Below are 21904 nucleotides of genomic sequence, written 5' to 3'. Positions count from 1 at the left end.
ACCTCTGGTGGTGCTCACTGCTACACTCCCACCAGCGCCATGACAGTTTACAAATGCCATGGCAACGTCAGGAAGTTACCCTATATGGTCTAAAAAGGGGAGGCATGAATAATCCACCCCTCGTTTAGCATATCATCTGGAAATAACCATAAAAATGGGCAACCAGCAGCCCTCATGGCTGCTCTGTCTATGGAATAGCCATTCTTTTATTCCTTTACTTTCTTAATAAACTTGCTTTCACTTTGCACTGCGGACTTGCCCTGAATTCTTTCTTGCATGAGATCCAAGAACCCCATGTTGTAGTCTGCATTGGGACCCCTTTCCTGTAACAAAATGATGATCTGAATTTGGAGAAAGCTTTCCCATAGCCTAATGCTGCTCTCAGGTTAGCATCAGCAGCCACCTTATTTTCTGAAAGTGAAGAGTCAGATACAGCTCCCTTTTTCCCTTTTCATGCAGATATAGTCATCACTGTTTCATTGTCCTTTGGTCCAAGAAACAACTATTTGAAAGTCAGAAGGATCTGAGTTCCAGTAAATCGTATCACCCCTCAAAATTGGAATCTTCACTTATAAAATGGAATCTAATCTTCAGAAGATTGCTATAGTGAGTAGAGACATTATAGTGTCTTAGACAATAACTAGTAAAGAGTAGATACTTAAAAAGATACAAAGTAACAAGTTGGCTAGCTCACAGGTACTAAATACCTGTTGAAATGCTTTGATATTCCTAAAGAAGACAAAGGGGAATTCCATATAGACTAAATCAAATAGTTGGATATAAGAACTGTAAAGAAACCCTATCACTTCTACTTCACTCCCGCTGTCAGAGGAGTCCAAACCAGAGTGACTCCATCTTGAATAAAGGCTGAATAAAGCAAAACCTGCTGGGTTACATTCCCAGAAAGTTAAGTACTCTCCATAATAAGACTGAGGCAGGAAAATAGGGTCTGGAGGCAGGGAACCTAAGGCTGATTCACACTGACTTCGTAGAACTAAATCAAAAGGAAAAAACCAACTATCTATGCCTAAGTAACAGAAGGACCAGAGGTTACTCCCTTTGCAAACCTGCTTTTCTGCAGGGCAGAAGGAAAATTGAAAGTACCTCTGATTGGTTGCAGAAAGCCACCAATCAATCCAAATACCCACTAGAGGTTTCCCATTGGCCACTTGGTGTGCACTCCATGCAAATGAAATAATGGCCTCAATCAGACGTTTGCATAGGAGTGCAACTTTGTAACTTTACTTCAGCCTCTGATTGCAGGCCACTACTTCATTTGCATGGGGTGAACACCAAGTGACCAGTAAGAAACCTCTAGTGGGTATTTGGACCCCAGAAGATTCTGTAACCCAGCTGTTGAGCCCCTAGACAGGGGCTGCTCCCATCCTGGGGAGTGTACTTTCATTTTCAATAAATCTGATTTTGTTGCTTCATTCTTTCCTTGGTTTGTACATTTTGTCCAATTCTTTGTTCAAGATGTCACGAACCTGGACACCCTCTACCCATAACAAGACCTTTTGGCTGAACGAGCTAATGATTCTTACTCACTAAACAAGACCCAGAACTTAAGAAGATGTCCTGATATCTTGAGAACAGAAAGCATTATTAGTTTAAGAATAGGTTTCTCTTTAAAGATAATAGTATTTTCATAAATGTTTGCTGAAATCAATAGTTACACAGAGAATAACACTACTAATACTCTGTCACAAGTGGATCACAAGCTGTTGTACTAAAGCACATGAGACCATTATTCTTAGCTAGCTACATAATTTTTGGTGTGGGGTCCTCCTCTCGCCTTCTGAGAACACCCTACTCTGTAATAGAGTAGTCTTTAATAAACTTGCTTCTTTCACTGTGCTCTGTGACTGGCCCTAAATTCTTTCCTGTCTGAGATCCAAGAACCTGTTTTTTGGGTCTGGAACAAAATTCCTTTTAAGTAACATTTCCTGTGGCAACTCCCAAGGACTTTATTGAGGTGAGACCTTCAACCCAAAAGAAATAGACTGCGCAGGACCAACTGACTGACTTTGGGTAAGAAGGGGAATACATTTTTATACCGATGAAGGACAAGGACACTTATCTAAGATTGGGTTTGAGGCCTACTTGGGAGGATTAAAGGCCCCTCACAGCTGAAAATGGGTTTAGCACAATGGGATGTTAACCATTATTCACTGTGGATTCGTCCTCCTTGTGCTCTCTGTAAGAGCTTTCCAAAGGCTGCCACTTGCCAGTTTCCTGATTGCTTTCTATGCTTTACTGCTACTTTATGAGAGAGATCTTGTTGAACTGGTCCTGAGGTTTTTAACTTTCCTTTTTCTTGTTTGCCTTTGGGTTATGGGCCATTTGCCTGTTGTTCTGGCATGTTGCTAGAAGACATTGGGGACAAATGGCTCTGTAATATTTACTTTCCCTAGATCTAGACCACTTAAATGAATTGTTTATTGTCTCTCCTTTTTTGCAAAGCTTACTTGGAATTTCGCATTTACAAGTTTTAAATGAAAAGGTCCAATGTGAAAGATTAAGCCTGGCAGCAATTATACCAGTCCCCCCTAGGTGAACTGCTCCAGGATGGAAAACTGGAGATTGCTTTTCAGCAGTTCTTTTTCATCTCCTTGCTAATGGAATGACTTTTACTTTTTGGTTACAAATGGCAAGGCCATGTAAATCTTGTCCTGCTTGCCGCTACTGGCCTGAACTTGGACATTCCTTTCTAGAACTTTGTCATTTCCCTTCTCTAGTGAAACATTTCTTTTGCTGAGTCCCCTATTGTGGTCTTTACTTTTGATTACCTAATAATCTTTTGGTTTCTGTGTTAACTTGGACAATTCTTCCCCGTGGGTTTAGGGACAGGCTTTACTTTCTTCCTTTATGTGGCTGAGAAACAAGGGACAGCCCTAAATGTTCTTGTCTAGAAACAGGGATACATCCCTTGACCCATGGCATATTTTTCTAACCAATTGACCATGTGGCTTCAGGATGACTCAGATGTTTCAGGGCAGTTGCAACAACTGCTCTTCTCATAGATGAAGACAATAAATTAACTTTGGGACAACATCTGGAGGTTTTGACCCCACACCAAATAACAGAGGCCCTAGAAGCTAAAGGGCACCAATAGATGAGTAGGGGATAGTTATTAAATTATCAGGCTTTATTGCTAGATACTCTTGATATAACTCTTAAAGTATAACAGAAGACCTTAATCCTAGCTACGTATCTACTTGGATCCAAAGGCACCCTAGATCATTCATGTACACAAGCTATGGAACAAATTTATTCCAGCTGGCAGGATTTAAAAGACGGGCCACTAGGGCTGGGTGTGGTGGCTCACACCTGTAATCCCAGTACTTTGGGAGGCTGAGGCAGGCGGATTACTTGAGGTCAGGAGTTCCAGAACAGCCTGGCCAACATGGTGAAACCCCATTTGTACTAAAAATACAAAAATTACCTGGGCGTGGTGGTGCACACCTGTAGTCCCAATTACTCAGGAGGCTGAGGGAGGAGAATCACTTGAACCCAGGAGGCAGAGCTTGCAGTAAGCCAAGGTCATGCCACTGCACTCCAGGCTAGAGACAGAGCGAGACTCTGTCTCAAAAAAGGATAATAATTTTAAAAAAGAATTAACATGTACACAAACTCCAAGTATGGCTTTCTGGTGCTTCATGCTCATGCTGCTATTTGGAAATAATGGGGACTCTTTAACTTCTAAGGGCTCCCCTATAGAACATTATTTGGGAATTTTAAATCTACTAGATGCTTCCTTGCTGCCTAAGGAAGTTGCTGTGATTCACTGCAAGGGACATCAAAAAGAAAACTCCAAAATATGCCAGGCACTGTGGCTCACACCTGTAATCCCAGCACTTTGAGGGGCTAAGGCGGGCGGATCATGAGGTCAGGAGTTCGAGACCAGGCTTGCCAACAGGGTGAAACCCCATCTCTACTAAAAATACAAAAATTAGTTGGGCGTGGTGGCTCGTGCCTGTAATCCCAGCTACCTGGGAGGCTAAGGCAGGAGAATTGCTTGAACCTGGGCAGCAGAGGTTGCAGTGAGCCTGAGATCGTGCCATTGCACTCCAGCCTGGGCAACTTGAGCAAGGCTCTGACTCAAAAAAAAAAAAAAAAAGAAAAAAAAGAAAAGAAAAGAAAGAAAGAAAACTCCAAAATAATAAAAGGGCATTCTTTTGCAGATGCTACAGCTGAGGCAGCTTCATTTGAGGGAACCAGTTAATCTGGTAGGCATGTTGGTGCCCACTGCCTTGGTGACGATAAAACTAGAGCATGGTTAATACTAGAAAAGAACAAAAATGGGCTAAGACCCATGGGTTAACTATAAGCACTTCCAGATGGCTAATTGATGAAAATGACAGATGATATGTACCAAGAGCTGATCAATGGAAAATAGTTAAGTATTGGCATGGCTCTACTCATTTGGGAAGAGATTTCTCATTTCAATTAATATGGCTCATCTGTTTATAGGGAAAGACTTTCTTTTTTTTTTTGAGACGGAGTCTCGCTCTGTCACCCAGGCTGGAGTGCAGTGGTGTGATCTCAGCTCACTGCAACCTCTGCCTCCTGGGTTCAAGCAATTCTCTGCCTCAGCCTCCCGAGTAGCTGGGATTGCAGGCATCTGCCACCATGCCCAGCTAATTTTTGTATTTTTAGTAAAGACAGGGTTTCACCATGTTGGCCAGGCTGGTCTTGAACTCCTGACCTCGTGATCCACCCACCTCAGCCTCCCAAAGTGCTGGGATTACAGGCGTGAGCCACCGTGCCTGGCCGAAAAGACTTTCTTAGAACAGTAAAACAAGTGACTTGGGCCTGTGAATTGTGTGCCCAAAAAAACCTCAAACAACCAAACTTTACCTCCTCCATTAGTAAAGCCTGTTCAGCATAGGGGGTCGTACCCAGAAGAAGATTGGCAAACACACTATACCCAAATGCCCCCATGTAAAGGATTCCAATATTTATCAGTGTTGGTTGATACCTTTCTTTACATGTTGGATTGAAGCTTTTCCTATCTGGCCTGAAAAGTCAATCAAGGTTTCTAAATTTTCATTCAAGGATATGATTCCCAGATTCAGGTTGCCTAAAAGCTTGTAGAGTGATAATGGCCCATCTTTACAGCAACAATAACCAAGACATAGCATCCGCTCTAGGAATTCAATATGGTCTTCATTCCGCATGGAGGCCACAGTCTTCAGGAAAAGTAGAAAGGACCAATCAAATTTTAGACAGGACCCTTGCTAAGCTCTGACAGGAAACATCAGAAACCTGGCTCCGTCTATCGCCTGTGGCCTCGCTGCAAGTTTGGGCTGCCCCAGTGGAAGGCTCAGCCCTTTTGAAATAATGTACGGAAAGCCTTTCTGAAAGAATTGCTGATTTCCTAGTAGATGGAGATACTTTCAAATTACAGAATTATGTTGCCAACTTAGGTCAGGTGCAAAAAGCTCTTCTTGAATACAGAAATGAGAGACTTCCTTCCCTCACTAAGGAAAAAAATCCTATTGTAATCCAGCCAGGAAATGGGATCCTGTTAATGACTTGAAAAAATGGTCCCTAGCAGATCAACTTTCCCACAGTGGAAAGGACCCTACTAAGTAAGTACTCCTTAGTGCCTCAACCGCAGTTACACTTCAAGGAAGAAGCAGCTGGGCTCATTGATCTTGAATTAAGTCTGTTTCTTATGAAGTCCCACAGGCTGCTGGAACACAAGAGACTGATTCCACTTATTCCTGTGAACCAACCAGTGATATCTGGCTCCTGCTTAGAAGAAACAAGAAAGATAAATAACATAAAAATCTGGATTAATATCCCAATTCTGGACACATATTGGTATTAGCTAAGAGGCAATCTCTTTGCTGGCTGGGCACAAACTTCAGCCTCCCTACACAACAAAATGGATTGCCGGGTGTGTGGAGAACTACAGCTCTCCTCCACCGTGGTGCTGCCATGATACATCCTGCCAGCCAATATGAGTTTATGGGATCATCATTATGATTGGAGTGAATATCCATCACGTTTTCCCATGTACTATAAAAACAAAGGGTCCAGCCCTTTCATTTCTCACAATGAAACAAGGAAGCGTCTTTTTTGTTTAATGAAGAAACAGCTAAATTCCACCCTGCCCTGTTATGCTGTGCATGATGGACTTGGGTGGATGACAGCTGTCCAAGTGCAGGTATCAAGCATAGTGTCCCTATGCTTTGAAAGACATAGTAACAGTTATGAAGAGACTGAGACCTGTAATATGGGAAGGTTACCACCCCAACAATGTAATCACACCCTTGTAAGTGACCAAATGTGCATGGAATGGCAGAATAAGTCCTAGCCACTGGTTGCTTGTCTTTCTCCTTGGGGCTGGCTATGGGCATGTGGGTCTCATGGCTGGCTGTATTTATCTTGTAATTGGATTGGAAGATGTACATGGGGTCATCCTTATCTCCCAGGACATATCCTCACTAAATTAGACTCTCTCCCGTCTAACTGGAAAGTTGGGAAATCTCGCCACAGGTGACCAAAGAGGTCTCTTTTTTTTTCTTTCTTTCTTTTTTCCAGGACGGAGTTTCGCTCTTACATCCAGGCTGGAGTAAAGTGGCATGATCTCCGCTCACTGCATCCTCCGCCCCCTGGGTTCAAGCAATTCTCCTGCCTCAGCCTCCAGAGTAGCTGGGATTACAGGCACCTGCCACCACGCCCAGCTAATTTTTTTGTATTTTTAGTAGAGATGGGGTTTTGCCATGTTGGCCGGGCTGGTCTCAAATGCCTGACCTCAGATGATCCACCCACCTTGGCCTCCCAAAGTGCTAGGATTATGGACGTGAGCCACCGCGCCTGACCCTACTTGGTGGTTTTTCTCGAGGGCTATATTACTGTCAGAGGTGGCTGTAATGGATGTCAAGTGGCAAGTTGAATCTGTATTCCAACATACAGCTACAGCTTTCAATACTACACAGCATGCCATTATCCTACTAACTGAAGAGACTTCTCAAATTAGACAGGTAGCCTTACGAAACTGCATGGCTTTGGACATTTTAACAGCGGCTCAAGGGAGATCTTGTGCTATCATCAAAATGGAATGTTGTTTGTATATTCCATAATATTAACATAATATTACTCAGGCCATGAAGGACTTAGACACCCATATCTCTGCCATTAACACACTGTCAGTTGACCCCATATCAGGGTGGTTCCAGCAATTGTCTGGTTCATGGAAAACCTTTTTGTTCAGATGCTTGGAACAGATTCTGTTTTGTTGCTGTGGAATGTATTGCTGTTGTAATTTTTGTGCAAGAAAACAAGGTAAACCTAGCCAGGCACAGTGGCTCACACCAGTAATCCCAGCACTTTGGGAAGCCGAGGCAAGCGGATCACCTGAGGTCAGGAGTTTTAAGACCAGCCTGGCCAACGTAGTGAAACTCCATCTCTACTAAAAATACAAAATTAGCAGGGCATAGTGGGACACAGCTGTAATCCCAGCTACTCAAGAGGCTGAGGCAGGAGACTCGCTTGAACCTGGGAGGCGGAGGTTGCAGTGAGCCGAGATCATGCCATTGCACTCCAGCCTGTGCAACAAGAGCAAAATGCCGTCAAAAAAAAAAAAAAAAAAAAAAAAAGAAAAGAAAAGAAAACAAGGTAAACCTATTAAATAGCTTCTTTAAATTGAACACTTACTAATTTTCCAGATTTCACCTTTTGTTGAAAGTCACAATAATGATTGGTCCTCACCACGCCAACACTTGCTGAGTGAACTCCTCTCCAATCTAAATACAAGGGATCCCAGTGGTTAGGGAGGAATATCATTGCTCCTGTTCACCTTGAAGACATTTATGAAGATGGACCTCTGTCCCTCTGTACCCCTTAGAATTAAGGATCCCCTTATAAAAGGGAGGAGGAAAATATATCAGAGGTGTCCAAACCAGAGTGACTCCGTCTTGAATAAGGCCAAATGAAGTGAAACCTGCTGGATTCCATTCCCAGGAAGCTAGGCACTCTCCTTCACAGGACCTTTATGGTTGAGAGAATGAGTTAATGATAAGTAAACAAGACCCAGAACTTAACAGAAAGTCTTGAAGTCCTGATATCTCAAGACCAAAAAGTATTCTTAGTCTAAGAATAGGCTTCTTATATTAATAGATAATAGGTTTCTTATACTAATAGGTAATAGTATATCCCTAAATTCCTGCTGAACTCAATAGTTACACAAGAGGATAACATCAGCCTGTCACAAGCTGGTCACAAGCCTTTATAATAAAGCACATAAGTTCATTATTATTCTTAGCTTGCTTTCTTCTTCTTGTTTTTTTTTTTTTTTTTTTTTTTTGAGACAGAGTCTCGCTTTGTTACCCAGGCTGTAGTGCAGTGGCATGATCTCTGTTCACTGCAACCTCTGCCTCCCAGGTTCAAATGATTCTTCTGCCTCAGCCTCCTTAGTAGCTGGGATTATGGGTGCACGCCACCACACCTGGCTAATATTTTATATTTTTGATGGAGACAGGGTTTCACCGTGTTGGCCAGGCTGGCCTTGAACTCCTGACCTCAAGTGATCCAGCCTCCCTGGCCTCCCAAAGTGTTGGGATTACAGGTGTGAGCCACCATGCCTGGCCAGCTCCCTTATTATATAGCATTTTATTTGTGTTCAGAGTCCTACTCTTGCTTTTTTTTTTCTTTTCCTTTTTTTTTTCTTTCAAGACAAGCCTTATCTGTCACCCAGGCAGGAGTGCAGTGGCACAATAATGGCTCACTGCAGCGTTGACATCCCAGACTCATGAGATCCTACTGCCTAGTCTCTCTAGCAGTTGGGACTGCAGGTATGCTACCATGCAGGGCAAATTTTTTTTATTTTTAGTAGAGATGGAGTCTCATTATGTTGTCCAGGCTGGTCTTGAACACCTGGTCTCAAGCAGTTGTCACACCTCATCTTCCAAAGTGCTGGGATTATAGGTGTGAGCTACGGTGCCTGGCCTCCTCTTGTTGTTAGTTCTGAGGATGCCCTACTCTGTAATAGAGTAGTCTTTAATAAACTTGCTTTTTTCACTGTGCTCTGTGACTGGCCCAGAATTCTTTCCTGTCAGAGATCCAAGAACTCACTCTGTGGTCTGGCTCCAGACCCCTTTCCTGTAACAGTTTGAGCAATAAAAGTAGCCCGGGCTGGTACCAAGCACCAAAGTCAGATTTCTCAACAGTCAGGACCACCTCCACTCAGAGTCCCTTCTGTTGGATGCCAATTTGTCAACCAAAATATGTCTGACACAAGTCTCAGTCAATTTAGAAGTTTGTAAAGTTTAGAAGCCAATGTAAGGCACACGCCAGAAGAAGGGAATATAGAAACCACAGAAACAGTCTGCGATCTGTGCCTTTCTCCAAAGATGATTTTGTGGGCTTCAATATCTAAAGGGGAAAAGCAGGCTGGAAAGAGGGAAGGTCCAGTCACATCACAGAATCCACATGTTGCAAGAGACAAGGAACAGGTAGGGGAATAGTCAGTTATGTATTTGTCTCATGCTCAGTAAATCGGCACTTGATAAGATAAGGTGGACAACCAGCAGCTGGAGATATCTGGCCTTTTATCTGTAGCATCTGCTTAGGAACAAAAGAAAAGGCAGCTTCTTGCGTGACTCGGCTTTTGGCTTATTCTTTTTTCCTTTTGGTAGGCTAAATCGAGATCCTGAGGTTTTATTTTCCTTTCATAAATGAACAAATGAATGAATGAATGAATGAAAAAAGAAAGTGCGGAAGGAAAAATAGTTCATGTCCCAAAGCAGTGGTGTAGTTCTAAAAGATGGACACTAGATGGCAGCAGGCACCTGCACCGAGGCAGCTGAGGGTGGTGAGGAATGTCCGGTATTTGGCCTTCAGATGGAGGGATGTCCAGGGCGCCTCAAGGGCCCCACAGGTTTTGTCAGTGCATCTCCATTAAATATCCCTTATGGCCTAGCGCGGTGGCTTATGCCTGTAATCCCAGCACTTTGGGAGGCCGAGGCGGGCGGATCACCTGAGGTCGGGAGTTCCAGACCAGCCTGACCAACATGGATAAACCCCATCTCTACTAAAAATACAAAATTAGCTGGGCGTGGTGGCGCATGCCTGTAATCCCAGCTACTCCGGAGGCTGAGGCAGAAGAATCGGGAAGCGGAGGCGGAGGTTGAGGTGAGCCGAGATCGCGCCATTGCACTCCAGCCTGGGCAACAAGAGCGAAGCTCCGTCTCAAAACAAACGAACAAAAACAAAAAACAAACAAACACCAAAAAACAATCCCTTACTGACAGGATAGTCAGGTGCGTGAGTGTGTTTGGCAACAAGTAATGGAAAGTTCAACACAATTTCCCTTTGCAGCCCTGGACCCCTTTTAACTGAGCTGGTGCAAAAGTAATCACGGTTTTTTGCCGTTACTTTTCATTAAAGGGGTCCAGGGCTGGTGTTGCTGCAAAGGGAAATCCTCAGTCCGCCAGGCTCCTTCTCAGCCTCGGTGGGACCCTTTATTTTTGTGGTTTTGAGACGGCTGCTGGACTTCTGGGCTTCTTGAGCAATTAAGACAGAGCAGAAAGACCTAAGAAGCATCTGCCCCATGGACTTCCGCCCGCCTCTCGAGGGCAAAATGGGTTCCCATGGCTACTCCTGACTACTGGGGAGGCTGGAAAATGATTTGATTTTACCTCTTGGTCCCTGTAATCAAGGACACATGAGGGAGAGTGGCGAACACTAGCCAGTAAGTGGCCTTTCTCTAGGCAGTGCGTGAAAGGCCCCTGGGAACCACAGAGCCTCTGGAGAGGGCTTTACATGAAAGACAGAGAGGAGAGGAAGAGCAAAGACCAGCAGCTGGGAAAATATGTGAGTCAGACAGGCGAGGTTAAAAGAGGCTGGGGTGAGCTGGGTGGGGCTGGGTGCTGTGGCACACACCTGTAATCCCAGCACTTTCGGAGGCTGAGGCAGGCAGATCACTTGAGGTCAGGAGTTCAAGACCAGCCTGGCCAACATGGTGAAACCCCGTCTCTACTAAAAATACAAAAATTAGCTGAGCATGATGGCGGACGCCTGTAGTCCCAGCTACTCAGAAGGCTGAGGCACGATAATCGCCTGAACCTAGAAGGCGAAGGTTACAGTGAGCTGAGATTGCGCCACTGCACTCCAGCCTGGGTGACAGAGAGCCAGACTCCACTGGTCTCAGAAAAAAAAAAAAAAAATGGGGTTGGGGGGTTGCTGGGCAGACTCTTGCTACCTTCACCTTCACCCAGGAGACACATTTCTGAAAATTTGGATTCAGATTTAGGATCGCCTTCTTCAAGAAGACCTTCCAGGGTTTTCTTTCCTTTCTGTCCCATCTCGGTTGACTTCTAGGACAGTTAAAAAAAAAAAAAAAGAAAAGAAAAGAAAGCTTTAAAATTATGTAAAACAGTGGCACTGAGGAAAACAATGAATATTCTGCAAGTGTTTACCATGTCCCTGGCCCTGATTCCAATGCTTTGTATTAATTAAGTTTTCTAAGGTTTCTGTGAGGTGTAGACTATTACTAGTCTTCTTTTGGAAATATTTATTTACTTATTTTTAAATATATTATTAAGTTTATTTTAATTACAAAATATGTCAAATGTACTGAAAATAATATAGTAGACACTTATGTATTTACATTCCAAGTTTTAAAGCATTTTTTTTAAGACAGTCTCACTCTGTCACCCAAGCTGAAGTGCAGTGGCACAATTTCAGCTCACTGCAACCTCCACCTCCTGGGTTCAAGTGATCCTCCTGCCTTAGTCTCCTGAGTTGCTGGGATTACAGGAATGAGCCACCATGCCCGGCCCCACAATGTGTTCTTGAAGGCTGAGTTTACTTGTTTTATATTGTGGCTCCATTACCACATTTTTGTGATTACAGTGACTAAGCTGTAGTACACTGTGGCTCTCCCTCCAGCAGGGCCAAATGTGGGCTACATGCCTGCTCCGGGGTCTGGGAGGTGCTATGTCTTGTTGGCTCAGGCAGCTGGGCTCTGGAACATGGACAACTTGTTCATCACCCTTGGCAGTAAGCACTGCAGTGACTACCAGGGCTGTTAAGGTCCTTGGTATTATCTCTCATTCTAGGGGCAGGTAGCACTGAGGGCCGGCTGCAGGTGTGTTTGTCACGCAGGGACGGGCCGTGGGCACTCGAAGGCTGGTGCCAGCAGCAGGAGCCATTCATGACTTCAGAAGCCAGCAGAGGTTACTTTTGTTCCTAACTTTGTATGTGTAATTTTGATTCTTTTTCTTAAACAGGGCCACAAATGTTTAAGTTCAATGCCGCATTGAACCTGGATCTGCTCCTGGCTGTTCTGAGAATGGCATGGGGGTGCTGGAAGAAGGGCCTGAGCTTGCACTGTTCCCTCAACCTTAACAGCTCAGGGAGTCCCAGCTAGCAGTGCAATAAGGAATGTGTGCAGCACAGGCCACTCATGCGTTCTCTTGATTGTGAGTGGACACTTAACCCCTACATTTGGAACAAGTAGTGGCTGCCTTATTTTCTATAATTCAACTTTATTTCTATCTCAAGGTGGCCTTCCTCCTGGTTGATAGAAAATGACCTCATCCCCCCAGCCCCCCACACCTTTTTTAAGAGACAGGGTCTCACTCTATTGCCCAGGCTGCAGTGCAGTGGTGTAATCATAGCTCACTGCAGCCTCAAACTATTTGGCTCAAGTGATCCTCCCATCACAGCCTCCTGAGTAGCTGGGACTACAGGTACCTGCACCACCATACTGGTGGTTTAAATTTTAAATTAATTTAAATTTAAAATTAAAATTTTCAGTTAAAAATGTAATCAACATTTTTTGTGGAGACAAGATCTTATTATAACGCTCAAACTGGTCTTTAATTCATGGGCTCAAATGATTTCCTCCCACCTCAGCCTCCCAAAGTGCTGGGATTCTAGGCATGAGCCACTGCACCTGGCCTGACCTCATTGCTGGACTTCTCTCCACTGAGGGCTGGGCCATAGTTATGCAAGCCCTCCTGATACCTGAGATTTTGCTGTGATTTTAAGATTATGATGATGCCAAAGTGTGGAAGGATGGTGGGTGATCAGCTGTGATTACCACTGTCTACATCTATGTGGCCTCTAAGCATTCCTCACTGCACTTGGGTCAAGGGACTTTTGAAGGAGTCTTCCTGTATTTCTGCCTGCCCAGATAAACCCAGAGACTATATTGGGATGTAGGACCTGCTTCCCTCTTCAGCCAGGACCTATAGACCTTTCTCATCCCTCATTTCCCCCATCCCAAATCTCAAATCCCCGTCCCATCAGAATTTTTCTTTCTTTACCCTCTTCAGCCAGGACCTATAGACCTTTCTCATCTCTCATTTCCCCCATCCCAAGCAGAATTTTCCTTTCTTCATTTTGTCCCCAGGCTTCTTGTAAAGACTTTTAGTTTGTCCCTGGGATTCCTTCCTGATCCTGGGGATTAGGCTTTCGGGAAAAAAATTCAGGAAGATGGGCAGGCTATTTCTACTCTCTCCTGTTACATCCATCCTGGGGTGACCAGCAGGGAGCAGGCCACAAACATGCATGACAACAAAGGGAAAAGGAATAACTGGGAAAAAGAAAACAATGTAAATTAATACTCCAAAATGTAGCCCAAAGCCTACATTTATTCTCAGTATTTTTCTCAGGCCTTGTCCCATGAAAAGTCTTGCATTCTATTTCACTTAATCTGCATTACAGCTATATTAGTCCGTTTTCATGCTGCTGATAAATGGAATGTGTGCAACACAGGCCACTCATGCGTTCTCTTGATTACCCGAGACTGGGTAATTTATTAAGAAAAAGAGGTTTAATGGACTCACAGTTCCACGTGGCTGGAGAGGCCTCACAGTCATGATGAAGGCAAAAGACACGTCTTACATGGCAGGAGGCAAGAAAGAATGAGAGCCAAGCGAAAGGGGATTCCTCTTATAAAACCATCAGATCTTGTGGGACTTATTCACTACCACAAAAAAGAGTATGGGGAAACTGCCCCCATGATTCAATTATCTCTCACTTGGTCCCTCCAACAACATGTGGGAATTATGGGAGACACAATTCAAGATGAGATTTGGGTGGGGACAGAGCCAAACCATATCAACAGCCCTGTGAGCTGAGTTTTATACCTGCTCTATTAACAATGAAACTGAGCCCAAGAGAGACTGGGTAACTTGCACAAGACCACACAACTCGTGTGTGGGTCTTAACCCAGCCTAGGCAATCCTCCCGTGGTGATGGTGGTGTATCGTGTGGTCAGGGCAGGGTTTGGGGCTTATTGCTATGGAATCTAGGGAAAATCTTGTGTCAGAGAAAGACAGAGCTGGGATTGTGGCTGTACCAGCTCAGCCAATTCATAACTGTGTGATCCTGGGCACGTCACTTAAATTATCTGGGCCTCAGTTTCTGCATTAGTAAATTTACAAGGTAGAGCTACGTTCTCTGGGCCCCAGTTTCCTCACAAGAAAATTTATAATGCGGAACTGGATGGCTTCAAATGCTCTTTCTAGTGCAGAGGTCTTCTGGCCTCCAACCATCTTTTAAATTCCCATTACCAAAGCAGTTTCCCTCAGAATGACCTCACTACCTACCTACACACACACACACACACACACACACACACACACACACACACACATGCACGCACACCCCTTCAGAATCTGGGGAGCATGCTTAAAAATCTAATACCTGGAATCACCCAAGATTTAAGCAAGTCTGAACACGAATCTCTGGAGGTAGGACCCAAGAACTTGTATTTAACAAGCTACATCTCAGACAATCTAAAATGTACCTTGTGTTACTGAATGACTTGAAACAAGGTAAGATTTTGATAAGGAGAGAGAGAAAAAGAACATCCTAGGAAGATAACTGGTTTGAGAAAAGGCCCAGAAATGGGTGTTTTGGGGGAAGTGAACAGACTAGTCTGACTAGAGAGAAAGACAGTATCACACAGTTGCAGAAGATTAATTTGGGAAAACAAATTCACCAAATCCTGAGACAGAATGTACTTTTTTAGTGATGACAGTGTTCATGTCCATTAGATAAAATGTCCTTACCTTGGCAAGGACAAAGAAGCAATTGCATAATCTAAGCCATTCTCCAGTCTCTAAGCCTTTCTCTTGGTGGTGACAGGAATATAATTTTATTTCAACCATTAAAAAAGCAACAGGCAGACATTTTTCTCTTGCAGAGTTGCATTTTCATGAGCATATTTTAGTGTGGCTTCTCCCCAGTGCCGATTAATGAAGAGTCATCTCACCCACAGTACATGCCTCCCAGATTCTGGTGTAATGGTCATGAGCAGAGGGACTGCCTGGATTTGAGCCCCAGTTGTGCCACCTACCGGGGTGCCTTAGAGAGGTCGTTCAACCTCTCCTTCTTGCAATTTCTTTTTTTTTCTTTTCTTTCTTTCTCTTTTTTTTTTTTTTTTTTTGAGACAGAGTCTCACTTTGTCGCCCAGGCTAGAGTGGTGCCATCTTGACTCAGTGCAACCTCCACCTCCCAGGTTCAAGCAATTCTCGGGCCTCACCCTCCTGAGTAGCTGGGATTACAGGCACCCACCACCACGCCCGACTAATTTTCATATTTAGTAGAGATGGGGTTTCACCATGTTGGCCAGGCTGGTCTCGAACTCCTGGCCTCATGATCCACCCACCTCGGCCTCCCAAAGTGCTGGGATTACAGATGTGAGCCACTTTGCCCCAGCCTACCTTCCTGCAGTTTCTACACCTATAAAATGGTGATTATGTTACTAGTCCCCAACTCATAAATTTTTGTGATTAATTGAATAGAGCATATTAGCTCTTGGAAGATGTTACTTGCTATTATCATCTCCTCATAGAGAAGTCTGGTTTATTTTCAGCTCTGTCTCAGGAAATAGCTCTCCCTGGATTTGCTCATAATCATCTCTTCTCCTGCCCATGGGTCCTCTTTCATATAGGTGCCAGCAGCTCTCTCTTCTCTAACTGAAATCGTGAAGATGCTACACTGGGCCTGACCTAAAGCAGAAAGGCAGATAGAGGGGGGAAAAATAGGTGAGCCAGGGAGTCATGACTTCACGAGTGGTTTTATATTATTTTCTTGCCACATCTGTGTATGGACATCGTGGTGTATGGACTTGACATCAGGCACACCTACCCATAGCCTTACAATCAACACTAATTGAGTTCCTACTCTATAACAGGCACTGTGTTAGGTAATGGGGATGCAGAGGAAACAAGGTAGTCATGAACTTGGATTTTTAGGGAGGTTCTTGTGGGTAGGATTCCATTTCTGCCTTCATTTCTCTCTGTGTCTTTTTTATCTTTTAAGAGACAGAGTCTTGCTATGTTGTCCAGACTGGCCTCAAACTCCTGCGCTCAAGTGATCCTCTTGTTTCAGCCCCCTGAGTAGCTGGGACTACAGGTGTGAGCCACTGAGCCCAGCTCTCTGTCCTTGTTGCTTTCTACTGTGTTACCTGGGGCAAGTCACTTAAACATTTTGTGCTTCAGCTTCATTTTTACATTGGTGTTAATAATAGAGCCTACATTATAGGGTTATAGGAGAGTTAAAAATGATAATGTATGAAGTCTTCTGTATAGTGCCTGGCACATTAGTGAATGATCAAAAATTTCTGGCCGCTTCTCTGTTCCTCAGAGGTTACAAAAAATATTCTGCTTATCATCAACACCATCACTGTCATCATCATCCCAAGACAAAATGGGTAAGATTTTCTGCATCTGTGTTCATCAGGGTTGTTGGTGAATAGTCTGTCTGTCTTTCTTTCTTTCTCTTTCTTTCTTTCTTTTCTTTCTTTCTTTCTTTCCTTTCTCTTTCTTTCTTTCCTTTCTTTCTCTTTCTTTCTTTCTTTCTTCTTTCTTTCCCTTCCTTCCTTCCTTCCTTCTTTCTTTTCTTTCTCTCCTTCTTTCTTTCCTTCTTTTTTTTTTTTTGAGACGGAGTTTTGCTCTTGTCACCCAGGCTGGAGTGCAATGCTGTGATCTCAGCTCACTACAACCTCCGCCTCCTGGGTTCAAGTGATTCTCCAGCCTCAGCCTCCCGAGTAGCTGGGATTACAGGCACCCACCACCACGCCCAGCTAATTTTTATATTTTTAGTAGAGACAGGGTTTCGCTATGTTGGCCAGGCTGCTCTTGAACTCCTGACCTTAGGTGATCCACCCACCTCCGCCTCCCAAAGTGCTGGATTACAGGCGTGAGCCACCGCGCCTGGCCAATGGTTTTCTTTTCTTGGGATATCTCTGTCTGGCTTTGATATCGGTATAATGCTGGCATCATAAAATGAGTTTGGAAATGTTCTTTCTTCTTCAATTTTTTCAAGGTTTGAGAAGGATTGGTGTTATTTCTTCTTTAAATGTTTGGTAGAATTCACCAGTGAAGCCCTCTAGTCCTGGGCCTTTCTTTCTTGGGAGGTTTCGGGTTAGTAACTCAATCTTCATGGTAGTGATCAAATCTTTTATTTCTCCCTCTCTCCCTCTCTCCCTCTCTCCCTCTCCCCCTCTCCCCCTCTCCCCGTCTCCCTCTCCCTTTCCCCACGGTCTCCCTCTCCCTCTCTTTCCACGGTCTCCCTCTGATGCCGAGCCGAAGCTGGACGGTACTGCTGCCATCTCGGCTCACTGCAACCTCCCTGCCTGATTCTCCTGCCTCAGCCTGCCGAGTGCCTGCGATTGCAGGCGCGCGCCGCCACGCCTGACTGGTTTGCGTATTTTTTTGGTGGAGACGGGGTTTCGCTGTGTTGGCCGGGCTGGTCTCCAGCTCCTAACCGCGAGTGATCCGCCAGCCTCGGCCTCCGGAGGTGCCGGGATTGCAGACGGAGTCTGGTTCACTCAGTGCTCAATGGTGCCCAGGCTGGAGTGCAGTGGCGTGATCTCGGCTCGCTACAACCTCCACCTCCCAGCCGCCTGCCTTGGCCTCCCAAAGTGCCGAGAGTGCAGCCTCTGCCCGGCCGCCACCCCATCTGGGACGTGAGGAGCCCCTCTGCCTGGCTGCCCAGTCTGGAAAGTGAGGAGCGTCTCTGCCCGGCCGCCATCCCATCTAGGAAGTGAGGAGCGCCTCTTCCCGGCCGCCATCCCATCTAGGAAGTGAGGAGCGTCTCTGCCCGGCCGCCCATCGTCTGAGATGTGGGGAGCGCCTCTGCCCTGCCGCCCCGTCTGGGATGTGAGGAGCGCCTCTGCCCGGCCGTGGCCCCGTCTGGGAGGTGAGGAGCGTCTCTGCCCAGCCGCCCCATCTGAGAAGTGAGGAGACCCTCCGCCTGGCAACCGCCCCGTCTGAGAAGTGAGGAGCCCCTCTGCCCAGCAGCCGCCCCGTCTGAGAAGTGAGGAGCCCCTCCGCCCGGCAGCCACCCCGTCTGGGAAGTGAGGAGCATCTCCGCCCAGCAGGCACCCCGTCCGGGAGGGAGGTGGGGGTCAGCCCCCGCCAGGCCAGCCGCCCCGTCCGGGAGGGAGGTGGGGGGGTCAGCCCCCCGCCCGGCCAGTCGCCTCGTCTGGGAGGTGAGGGGCGCCTCTGCCCGGCCGCCCCTACTGGGAAGTGAGGAGCCCGTCTGGGAGGTGTACCCAACAGCTCATTGAGAACGGGCCATGATGACAATGGCGGTTTTGTGGAATAGAAAGAGGGGAAAGGTGGGGAAAAGATTGAGAAATCGGATGGTTGCTGTGTCTGTGTAGAAAGAAGTAGACATGGGAGACTTTTCATTTTGTTCTGTACTAAGAAAAATTCTTCTGCCTTGGGATCCTGTTGATCTGTGACCTTACCCCCAACCCTGTGCTCTCTGAAACATGTGCTGTGTCCATTCAGGGTTAAATGGATTAAGGGCGGTGCAAGATGTGCTTTGTTAAACAGATGCTTGAAGGCAGCATGGTCGTTAAGAGTCATCACCACTCCCTAATCTCAAGTACCCAGGGCCACAAACACTGCGGAAGGCCGCAGGGTCCTCTGCCTAGGAAAACCAGAGACCTTTGTTCACTTGTTTATCTGCTGACCTTCCCTCCACTATTGTCCTATGACCCTGCCAAATCCCCCTCTGCGAGAAACACCCAGGAATGATCAATTAAAAAAAAAAGAAAGAAAAAAAAATCTTTTATTTCTTTGTGATTTAGTCTTGGTTGTATGTTTCTGGGAACTTACCCATTTCTTCCAGGTTATCTGGTTCATAGACACACAACTGTTCGTAGTAGTCTCTTATTATGCTTTTTATTTCTGTAGGACCAGTTGTAAAGTTTCTACTTTCATTTGTGATTTTGTTTATTTGAGTGTTCTCTTTTTTAGTTAGTCTTGGTAAGGGTTTGTCGATTTTGTTTATCTTTTCAAAAAACCAACTCTTAGTTTTGTTGATTTTTTTCTATTGCTTTTCATTTTCTATTCCGTTTATTTCTGCTCTAATTTTTATTATTTCTTTCCTTCTCCTAACTTTGGGCTTAGATTTGTTTTTCTTTTTCTAGTTCCTTGAAATGTAAAGTTAGGTTGCTTATTTGAGATCTTTCTTCTTTCTTAATGTAGGTGTTTATCACTCTGAATTTCTCTTTTAGTAGTGCTTTTGCTGCATCCTGTCAGTTTTGGTATGTTCTGTTTTCATTTTTGTCTCAAAATACTTTATAATTTCTCTTCTATTTCTTCTTTGACCCCTTGGTTGTCCAGCTTCTCAAAAAGTTGTAAGAGTCATCCTTGCATCTTTCCTTTCCTAATTCTCTACAACCATTCTGCCAACAAGGTCTGTTAACGCTAATCTAAAACATATCTTGAATGTGTCCACAACTCTCCACACCTATTCCTTCATCCTAGTACAGTCACCATTATCTCCTGCCCAGATTTCTAACCAGAAACTGCAATCCTCATTTGTATCCGGAATTCATTTTCCATGCACTTAAAACCCTCTAACCAGAAACTGCAATCCTCATTTGTACCTGGAATTCATTTTCCATACACTTAAAGCCCTCCACTGTCTTCCCACTGTACTTAGGCCATTGTCCACATGCCCCCACCTAAGTCCAGCACAATCTGGCCCCTGCCCAGCCTTATAAACTCATCTCACATCAATCTCACCTTTGCTCACTCTCCTGTAGCCACATTGGTCTGCAGTTTGTTCTTAACATGATCCAGGTCCTCTGCTGTCCGACAGCATTTATCCCTGCTTCCGCTCTTGGGGATGCTCTCCTTCAGATCTTCACAGGGATCCCTTTTAATTCATGAATCTCAGTCAAATGTCACCTCCTCCTTCAGAGCAGCCTTACCTGACCACCTAAAGTGCCCTTTTCCAAGCTGCTTTTTCTCAGCATCCTCCTTATTTCCTTAGTGCATTCTTATAACCTGCTCTCTTCTTTATTTGCTCATTACTTATATATTATATATTTCCATTTTCTTCCAGCAAGTCAAGGAAGAAAATGGAATGGCCTTATTCATCACTGTCTTATTTAGCCTTATTCATCATTGTCTCTTCCAGAGCTTAGCCCAGTGACCAGTACATAGCAAACATTCAATAAATACTTGCTGATCTAGTGAATACATGAAAAAAGGAAGACACAATGAAATGAATGATGAAATAAATGTTGTTTGGTCCTGCTAATCTCCCACTGTCCTGGATCCAGTCCTGGATAAAAATCTTTGCTCCATTTTGTGTATGGTGGGGTTGAGAGACTCAGCCCATGAGAGAGGGTATTCAGAATGCATCTAAGGACACAACCTGACAGCAACAGAGATTTATCTTATCATACTTCCTAACAATGCCCTTGAGGCTACACCGGAGGAATACATTCCAGACAAGGGGCGTTGGCAACACTGGGGCAGCAAAGCAGTTCCAGTCTATAGCCCATTTCAGGGAAATGAGTCTTGAGAGAAAAGACCAGAACCATCAGCTCCCTACAAATAAATCCACCACACACTAGCATGGTTGGTTGGTTGAGAGGCTGCGGCATCTTCTGCTGCACTTGGAGGAAATAGGGGAAAGGGTGGCAAGGTGGAATATGACAGCATGGATGCCCACAGAAGAACTCTATTAGCATTCGGTGACTCAAAAGTCAGTCTTCCTTCTTTTTTTCTTTCTCTCTTTCTTTCTCTTTCTTTCTTTTCTTTCTTTCTCTTCCTTCCTTCTCCTCCTCCTCCTTCTTCCCTCCTTCTTTCTTTTTCTTTCTTTCTTTCCTTCCTTCTCTTTCTTTCTTTCTCTTTCCTTCCTTCCTTCCCTCCCTCCCTCCTTCCTTCTTTTCTTTTCTTTCTTTCTCTCTCTCTTTCTTCTCTCTCTCTTTCTTGACTCAGAAGTTTTTCTTTCCTTTCCTCAAGTGATCCTCTTGCCTCTGTCTCCCAAGTAGCTAAGATTGCTTTTTAAAAGTTTTTGTAGAGATGAGATCTTGCTATGTTGCCGAGGCTGCTCTTGAACTCCTGGCCTCAAGGAACCTTCTAGCTTCAGCCTCCCAAAGTTCTCAAATTACTGGCAGTAACTACTGAGCCTGGCTGTGAGTCAGAAGTTCTAATGTAAAGCCTTTATGTCTCTGCTTCTCATGTTAAAGGCAGACTAAGTGACTTAAGAGACTAAGTGACTGGCCGGGTGCGGTGGCTCACACCTGTAATTTCAGGACTTTGGGAGGCCGGGGCAGGTGTGTCATTTGAGGTCAGGAGTTTGAGACCAGCCTGGCCAACATGATGAAAACCTGTCTCTACTAAAAATACAAAAATTAGCTGGACATTGTGGGGCATGCCTGTAGTCCCAGCTATTTGGGAGGCTGAGGCACAAGATTTGCTTGGATCCAGGAAGTGGAGGTTGCAGTGAGCTGAGATTTTACCACTGCATTCCAGCTTGGGTGACAGAGTGAGACCCTGTCTCCAAAATAAATAAATAAATAAATAAATAGTAAAAGAGACCAAGTGACCTGGCTGGGCACCTGGGGAACGGGAAATGGTCCATAGACCCCTTGTTTTTACTATCAAATGAATATTAAACTGTT

At 44.8% G+C, this 21904-nt stretch overlaps 3 annotated features.

Moving 5' to 3' along the window:
* Positions 9524–10023: an enhancer, noted in NCBI's record as "H3K4me1 hESC enhancer chr8:125452571-125453070 (GRCh37/hg19 assembly coordinates)". NCBI's record gives its function as "activates a minimal SCP1, AML or CMV promoter by ChIP-STARR-seq in naive H9 embryonic stem cells {active_cell/tissue: H9 hESC(naive)}" and the evidence as "EXISTENCE:reporter gene assay evidence [ECO:0000049][PMID:30033119]".
* Positions 18318–19133: an enhancer, noted in NCBI's record as "NANOG-H3K27ac hESC enhancer chr8:125443461-125444276 (GRCh37/hg19 assembly coordinates)". NCBI's record gives its function as "activates a minimal SCP1, AML or CMV promoter by ChIP-STARR-seq in naive H9 embryonic stem cells {active_cell/tissue: H9 hESC(naive)}" and the evidence as "EXISTENCE:reporter gene assay evidence [ECO:0000049][PMID:30033119]".
* Positions 21132–21633: an enhancer, noted in NCBI's record as "H3K27ac hESC enhancer chr8:125440961-125441462 (GRCh37/hg19 assembly coordinates)". NCBI's record gives its function as "activates a minimal SCP1, AML or CMV promoter by ChIP-STARR-seq in naive H9 embryonic stem cells {active_cell/tissue: H9 hESC(naive)}" and the evidence as "EXISTENCE:reporter gene assay evidence [ECO:0000049][PMID:30033119]".

Source organism: Homo sapiens, chromosome 8 (genome assembly GCF_000001405.40).
Source record: "Homo sapiens chromosome 8, GRCh38.p14 Primary Assembly".
Taxonomy (NCBI): Eukaryota; Metazoa; Chordata; class Mammalia; order Primates; family Hominidae; genus Homo; species Homo sapiens.
This window is presented reverse-complemented; position numbering and strand designations above follow the sequence as displayed.